Source organism: Homo sapiens, chromosome 2, assembly GCF_000001405.40.
Source record: "Homo sapiens chromosome 2, GRCh38.p14 Primary Assembly".
Taxonomy (NCBI): domain Eukaryota; kingdom Metazoa; phylum Chordata; class Mammalia; order Primates; family Hominidae; genus Homo; species Homo sapiens.
This window is the reverse complement of record NC_000002.12, coordinates 118,110,998-118,119,783: the sequence shown is the minus strand read 5'-3', so window position 1 is coordinate 118,119,783 and position 8,786 is coordinate 118,110,998. Positions and strand designations below refer to the sequence as shown.

The following is an 8,786-nucleotide window of genomic DNA, read 5'->3' as shown; positions in this document are numbered from 1 at the left end:
AATATGGGATACTGTTTAAGTTATTTAAATGTGATTCCTAGGATGGCAAAACTTCAAGAACTTCAACTTGTCTGTGTGTGTGTGTCTTTGTGTCTGTGGGTTTATGTCTGTGTGTGCATGTGTGAATACGACTGGATCTATGGCTTAAGGTGGTGCATACCCAGCTGAAATTTTCTTGGAGCTTAGAAAAGCAAAGGTTGCAACCCTTATACTCAGTTGCCCTGGGCAAGCAAGAAAAATATGTCAAGACCCAGGTCTTGCTGTTAAGGCTGGAGTTGAGAAATGCCCTCCAAATGCCTTCAAGTCAACATTAGCTATGACAGAAGCAAGACTATTATTTAACAATAGCAGCAAACGTCAAAAACAAACTGTGCCTGGCATTTTGACAAGACACTACTGAAAGAGAACCACTTTTTCAGCACTTGTGTAACCGTGGGGGAGAACTTGACAATTAATATCCTGAGGTCTGGTAACAGGATTTCCAGGCTGCTTGGTGGTTTCCTTCTGATACAAATGAAAGGAGTAGGCAAGTGGAGGACATGGGCAAAAATAATCCGAAACAATGAGGCCTAGAGAAAAGGACTGATACATCAGAAATCAGGTACCTTGTGGCTAATTAAAATGTAACTCCTCCCTCAGGAGACTGCACTCTCACGGTGGTGACACTATAAAGTATGAGGACAGAGCCATCATCCCTAGGTGAAAATAAGATGCTGACAAAATCTATCTCCTACCTCCCATCTCCTTTCCTCGCTCTCCAGCAGACTCATGCCATCCTGCGGCACCCTACCTAAGCTTCCCTCCATGGAAGCAGCCCCTGCCGGAACTGGCCAAACCCTCATCCCTGCCGTCAATCAATCAATTAATCAGTATAATAACAACCAGCCAGTTTCTGTCCTATGTCCTTAAGAATTTGCTCCCTGTTAACTAACCGATGAGTGGAGCTGTGGCAAGGTGTCAGCAAGCACAGTGATTCGTGTACTATGCTTCCTCTCATTTTGACAGAAACATTAGGGAAGCAACCTAATCCAAAGTAAATGCCAATGTGCTGGCTCCACACTCATGCTTTGAAGTGAATGAGGAGAGAGGGAAAGGAACCAATACTTCACTGGAAAGCCCTTATGAGCTAAGCCTTTGAAATGTTATCACAGTTAATGTTAACAGCCCTCAGACAAAAGTGGTATTGTGTCTCCATCTTACAGGTAGCAACCTGAAGTTTAGAAAGCATGAGGAACATGCCCAGCGTCCCAGTCTGCGAGTAACTCACCCAGAGTTAAAGCCTGCGTTCTCTCTCTCCCACAGCTGACTCTTCCCTGGCTCTCTCCACCACAACCCAAGATCACACACCTTGATCAGACTCAGAATGTTCTTTTTCTTTTTCTTTTTTGAGACGCAGTTTCACTCTTTTTGCCCAGGCTGCAGTGCAATGGCGTGATCTTGGCTCACCGCAACCTTCGCCTCCCAGGTTCAAGTGATTCTCCTGCCTCAGCCTTCCGAGTAGCTGGAATTACAGGCATGTGCCACCATGCCTGGCTAATTTTGTATTTTCAGTACAAACAGGGTTTCTCCATGTTGGTCAGGCTGGTCTCAAATTCCCGACCTCAGGTGATCCGCCTGCCTCGGCCTCCCAAAGTGCTGGGATTACAGGCGTGAGCCAACGCGCCCGGCCTTCTTTTTACATAAGAGCCTGGCAATGATGCTTTTTAATAAAGGGAACACCAGGAACTGTGGTGGGTGTGGCAGTCTTACTTGCAGGCCTCCTAAAAGGAACCCCCATGGACAGCTGTAGATCCTGCCTGAGAAGAAACATGAGTACAGGAGCCATTTAAATCCTCAAAGAGAAGCCAATCCCTATGTTTTAGAAGTCCTCCCTTCCACCCACTTCCTCTACCTGCGACTTTACTACCACCAGACCAGACTTTCGGTTCTTGAGAGAACATGCACGAATCTGTCCACGTGGGTTTCCTGTCCATACCATCCAAGGAGAAAGGCCTTGGCCTCCTCCAGCTGGGTCTGCTCCTTCCTTTGAACCCCATCGGTACCTATGCCCACACCTTTCAGAGCTTTCCTGATCAGTGTCAACATGCTGCTCTTCCTCTTACAAAATGTACCATCAATACAGCCCAGGCACATGGCTCCCACAAAGCTAGCCACTTATATAGTATGGGTCACATCAAAAATGACTCCAGCACAATCATTCATACAGACTTCTCTCACACTAAACCTTTAAACAAGGTGAGAAGTCAAAACCTGTGAAGACTGTCTCTTTTCAGCTGGGTGCAGTGGCTCACTCCTGAAATCTCAGCACTTTGGGAAGCTGAGGTAGGAGGATTGCTTGACCTCAGGAGTTTGAGACCAGCCTGGGCAACATACTGAGACCCAGTCTCTACAAAAAGTAAACAAAAGTAAACAAAATTAGCCAGGCACGCACCTGAGGTCCCAGCTACTAGGGAGACTGAGGTGGGAGGACTGCTTGCCCTGGCTGAAGGTTGAGGCTGTAGTGAGCCATGATCACACCACTGCACCACTGCACTCCAGCCTGGGTGTCAGAGGAAGACTCCATCTCTCAAAAAAAAAAAAAAAAAAAAAACCTATCTCTTTCCTATCTGTCAGATTTCCACATGGGTCTGGGTCTCTGGAAGCTGCAGCAGGACAGAACATCTGCTATGGAAAGGGGCTTGAGGTCCAAGTCAAGGTCATTCCCAGGCTTTCTAGAAATGCTTTTTATTAACTTTCTAAACAAACTCAGACTCCAGAGTGGAGGAACACATTCAACATGAATACGTCTACAAAGTCTTACACTTTTCTACTAAAAAGCTAAGATTGCATTCCTATCAGCAATGCCCACAATGCCAAGTCACTTATTCTAAGCGACGGCATTGGAATTCCGTCAGAAATGCATATGCAACATGAGGCAGGAGCGTCAGCGAAGGGACTTTCAGGGACAGCAGACAGGTCTGTGGTGATGAGGAAAGTCTTTGGTCATTGGAGTGAAGTCAAACCAGGGTTTGAAACTCTGCTGTGCCACCCAGAAAAATGTGGATGTTGGCAGCCGTAAAATGGCGTCAATACCCACAGACGTGTGCTGGGGACATTCCCAGGAGGCACCAGGAAGACACCTGGTTCATTCCCTCCCACACATTTCTCCTTCTAGGCGAGAGGAAAAGATGAAAGTGAATCCCTTCCTTCTTTCTCACCACTCCAAGACTTAGACACAAAGTTTACACTTTAGGTAAAGACCATAATTTTGTTTTAAACTTTGCCACCAAAAACTATTTTCTTATAGTCATGTTCACTATCAATCACTAAGGGAGTAAAGTATTCTATTGTGAACAGAGCACCGCAAAACGTTTTACAACTGTGGCAGACATTACCAGGGATCACCAATATTTGGTTCTCCTCTCCCTTTGGAGGAGGGGTTACACATCCCAGCCCCCTTGCAGTTAGGGCCACAGGATTAGTTCTGGCCAATGTGTGGAGCAGAAGTGCAGTACATTCCTTCTAGGCCCAAGCAGAGAAGAGTGAGTTTGAGAACCCATGCCCATTCTTCCCCTGCCTTGGCAAGCGAGTGAGGCTGCCTGTCTGCAGTGGGGCACAGTCTCCCACAAACCAGACTGTACATGTCACGTAAGTGGGAAATAAACCCGGTTATTGTAAAGCCAAGTTACAAATCAATGAAAACAAGCTGCCATTTCAAAATCAGATTACCAAACAATATTTAAGGATCACTAACTTATTCTTTCTGGGGAAAAAAGCTGAACCAAACTCAACTCTAGTATGAATTTTACACACATTCTGGGAAGACACGCTTCAACATGCCCTGACGTGCCTTCTCAAGGACAGACAGGATCTTGATATGCACTAGGATCTGGGACTTTGAAAATTCCACAGAGATTTGTCTTTATAAACATCTTTTAAGTTTCATCTTAAATTTGTCAGTCTGCAAGCTTCTCAAGCCCAGGGTGTGAGACTATGCACCCCAGGTGCATCCAGCTGATCCTGAGGTGATGGGCCAGCACTCTGCCTCTCTGTAATGTCCTGCTAGAAAATCTCAAGCTTTTTTATTAATATAAGCAGAAAGAATCGTTTCAAAACAGAACTGCCACTGTCATACTTTGGTGGAGCAGACATTCCCAAAAGATCTAGGAGTGACATGTGATGACTATAAAGGGAATAGAAATGAGTTTGATCCAATGGCAGAAATTCCCAGTGAATGCATTTTAGAAACTTTTCTTCTGAAACAAACAGTTTCAGCACTTGAGTTATTTCTTTGCTTTGTCTACTCAACTGCTCATCACAATGAATTGGTCCATGATCACATTCTGTGCAAGTTTCCTCAAAAAGCGTTTCTAAAAGAGAAGCAAATCTTGCAAATGAAACAGTCTCATGGAAGCACAGTAGCAGTAGATGGATTTATGGTTTTCGGAATGGCAATCAAAAATGATTGTTTTTAAATGGCAATATGTTTTCCAAGTGCCCATTACTTTTAAAGCCCACCTTCGGGGAGGCCACAGAATGATTAGCAGCCATAAATGCTGCCATGTGAAAGCAGCAGAGGACACAGTTACTAGAGCACAATTTTGATTTGGAATTAAAACTGCCCTTGTTCAAGAAAATCCTCACAGAAACTGAAACCAGGGAAACAGTGAAAAGGAAAAATCGCCCATATATGGCAATCAGTTTTGACACGAGGCTCATCAATAGCCCAGTCTTTCCAAGGCACATCATTATCTATCTGATCTGCCAAATCTGATACTTAACAACATTGTCTTCAGAACAGTTGACATAGCCTGGAAAAGTCTATCTTGTAAATCACAAAGATGACAGGTTTCACAGATCTGATCAGTGATAAAAAGAAGGGAGGCATAAAAGAGCAGATGCCAGTATACTTGCTGGCACAATGAACTGAATGAACTATATGTATTTCAAGGAAGAAAAAACCCCTCTACATCCCAATTTTTATTGAGGCCCAGTAAGAAACCACTGACTTAACCTATTTATCTCAGCTCCTAATTAAACCGAGTTTTTGAAAGGTAAAGACAAATGACCAGGGAGATAGCATGATTTTGTGGTATCAAAAAGTGGTGGGGAAAGCTGAATCAGGTCAGCTGGGCAGGCATGCTGCAGCTTCTTCCACCTACCCTAAATCCACAGAAATAACAAAAAGAAAAGAGATTTTTAAAAAGAAAAGGAATCCACAACTATACTGCAAAATAAGTACATTCTGTGAACTAGAAACTACAAGGAATCCCTGAAAGCAAGAGTGAGTAGCTGGATGGAGGGAAACCACAGCTTGAAATACTCAAGGAGAGGACTTGCTAAATATGAAACTAGGGGCATCCTAAGCTCAGAGGTAGCTGATGCTGGGAGCTGGAAATGCCAAGGGCAACTGACCTTATGGGTTCAACCAGGCTTCTGTGAAAGCAGCCAGTCTGGCCAACCCTTCTACACTTCTCCTACTTGCCAACCTTTGACCAGGCAGAGACAGCATGGTATCTACCCCATGATGTAAGTGTTAAGTGTGGACAGTCTCAAGAAGCATGGCGATGTGCCCAAGGCAAACCAGGGGCACTCACATCTGGAGATCAGCTGGTGGCAGGCTCATCCCACCCTTCCCTGCAATGGCTCTTTAGAAGTGCTTCGAACTTTAGAAGAGCAATTAATGTCCTTAGAAAAAATACAAGAAGGGCAATATACTTCCATTTCAAAGTACAGTAATCTTAGAAATTAAAATTGCTATCAATAAAATTAAAAACTCAACTGATGGGCTGAATGGATGGATACAGCTGAAGAGCAACTCGCTGAGCTGGAACAACAGTTATGTAATTCTTCTAGAAGGTAACACAACAAAGAAAAGCTAAGGGCTATATAAAAAAACAGAAACAGAAGGTCAAATATGTCTAGAATAGAGGACTTTTAGAAGAAAAGAAAAGAGAAAGTGAAAAAAGGAACACTAACAGCAAATATAGAAGTAAATTTCCCAGAATTCAAAAGATATATCTGACTGAACATGATTAACAGAAAAAGACTCACTCCTAAACATATTGTAGTAAAATCTCAGAACACCTAGGATGATAAATATCTAAAAAATAAATAAATACTCAAGCCTGTAATTCCAGCACTTTGGGAGGCTGAGGCGGGTGGATCACCTGAGGTCAGGAGTTCAAGACCAGCCTAGCCAACATGGTAAAACTCCGTCTCTACTAAAAATACAAAACTTAGCCGGGCGTGGTGGTGAGTGCCTGTAATCCCGGCTACTGGGGGGGCTGAGGCAGGAGAATTGCTTGAACCCGGGAGGTGGAGGTTGCAGTGAGCCGAGATCGTGCCACTGCACTCCAGCCTGGGTGACAGAGTAAGACCTTGTCTCGAAAAAAATAAATAAAAATAAAAATAAATAAATAAAAGAGGGGGGAAAGGGATTCTAATTAAAATCCCAATACAGTCAAGGCACTGAGATAAGTACCTGCTCAAATGGTCAAAAAGAGTATAGATGACACCCTTCCTTCCCACCTGACCTTTGAGATCACTCCAGGTAACATCAATACCAACATCAAAATCTGTTCACCCACGCATTGGACCTCTACTCCGCTGCTGTTCATTTCTACTCACTTCAGTGAACTATGTAAATACAGTTGTTTAGAACACTCCTTGGACTTTATCAAGATCTGGAAATGATCCACTACATTCCTCTCTGATTACAAACCCCAAACCTACCAACCTTACCCTTAAACTGGATTTTTAATCTCAACACTTGCAGTCATTTGACTTCATCCTATTTCCTCATGCCATCAGGTCAGCACTGCTGATTCAACTTCCTTTCCCAATTTGCCTGGATCCCATGAAAACGTCTGCAGATATTTCACTGGGAGTCTCTATTCATTTTTCACATATCCTTGTGCCATGCCTACCAGTGAATTCTCAGCTACAATCAATGTATTTCATCATGACAAGTCTACACTCCTGGGCTGCTGAGCCCACTAAGACATGGCGTTAACAATGTCAATTGGCTCTACTGCAAATATCTGACCTCTATCCTCACATGGATCCTTGATGGCCTCAAAACTGTCTGGCAAGTCTTTCTTCATCTTTAGTCAGTTACTATGTCCATTCTTCATAGATATTGTCCAAACATCCATCATTCTTTCAAAGTTCCCTAGTTGCCCCAGATCCCCTCACTCCCAATAAAAGACTCAGTATATAATCAGGCTTTTCTTTATTTTGTGAGCTATTTTATTAGTATACAGGGAGATATTTTATATGTTAAGAGACAGCAGTTAGAAAAACATTTTCAATGTAAAACAACACCTTCTCCTTTATCATCAAGATTAATTCATCCTTCCAATTGTACTTCATTGTACCAGTTACTCTGCCTGAAACTTCCTCCTACCCTGGTTTCATCCCATCACTCTTCTGGTTTTCCTCTTACTCTTTTTTTTTAATTTTTATTTATTTATTTATTTATTTATTTTTGAGACTAAGTCTCACTCTGTCTCCAGGCTGGAGTGCAGTGGCACGATCTCGGCTCACTGAAACCTCTGTCTCCCGGGTTCAAGTGATTCTCCTGCCTCAGCCTCCCGAGTAGCTGGGACTACAGGTGCCTGCCACCACACCCAGCTAATTTTTGTATTTTTAGTAGAGACACGGTTTCACAATGTTGGCCAGGATGGTCTCGATCTCTTGACCTCATGATCCACCTGCCTCAGCCTCCCAAAGTGCTGGGATGACAGGTGTGAGCTTTCCTCCTACTCTTGATCGTTCTTCTCTTTTCACCATAACATGCTCCCTATGTGATTTCATCCACTCCTAAGGCATCATTTATTACGGTCACATGCTGATGACTCCACATTTACATCCTACATCCCAGACTCAAATATCCAAGTGTTTATGATACCTTTATCAGATGTGCCCTACATAACTCAACCTCAACATATCAAACCAAACTTGTTAACTTTACCCCTTCACCTGCTTCTCTACATTCTCTTTTGGTTTATGGAAATATCATCCATCTAGTTTCTCAAGATAAAAAAATGAACTTACCATTGACTCTTCCTCATCTTTAACCTTCACACCCAAGTCACCAAGTTCAGGTGATTTTATTCCAAAATGTGCCCCTCATTCTTCATTTCCAATGTTACTACCCATCTCATCTCTCTCACCTGGACGCTACCCCTTATTTTATGCATAACTACACCAGTGAGTGGCAACCTGGGTTGCACATCAGAATCACCTGGGGAACTTTTAAAAATCCTAATGCTCAGGGCATACCCCAAACTAATTGTATCAGAGTCTCTGGGGGTGGAACCCAGACACCAGAATTTTCTATAGGTCCCCATGTGATTCCAATATGCAGGCACATTTAAGAATTTTCCAGAATTGAAAACATGAGCCCACAGATTGAAAGTACATACCAAATACCAAGCAAAAAAAAAAAATAACAAATCTACAACTAGTCAAATCATAATGAAGCTGAAAAATGTTAGAGGATAGAGAGAAAATCATGCAAATATCCTAGAGTGAAAAGATAGATTATCTACAAAGGAAAGAAAATTACGGTAATGGCAGACTTATCTGTAACATTAGGTGACAGAAGACAATGAGTTAAAAATCTTCAAAGTGCTGAGGGAGGGAAAAAAACTATGAACATAGAATCCTACAGCCTGCTAAATTATTCTTCAGAATGAAACAGACCTTTTCAGACACACAAAGCTAAGACTCTACTACTCAGACCATCACTGGAAGAATTACCTTACACAGAATATACTTCATTATAAAGGTAACTGAGCCAA

General features: G+C 42.8%; 1 annotated feature.

Moving 5' to 3' along the window:
* Nucleotides 2,836-4,035: an enhancer, noted in NCBI's record as "BRD4-independent group 4 enhancer chr2:118873325-118874524 (GRCh37/hg19 assembly coordinates)". NCBI's record gives its function as "activates an origin of replication core promoter dependent on BRD2, P300/CBP, MED14 and CDK7 cofactors, and independent of BRD4, by STARR-seq in HCT116 cells {active_cell/tissue: HCT116}" and the evidence as "EXISTENCE:reporter gene assay evidence [ECO:0000049][PMID:35650434]".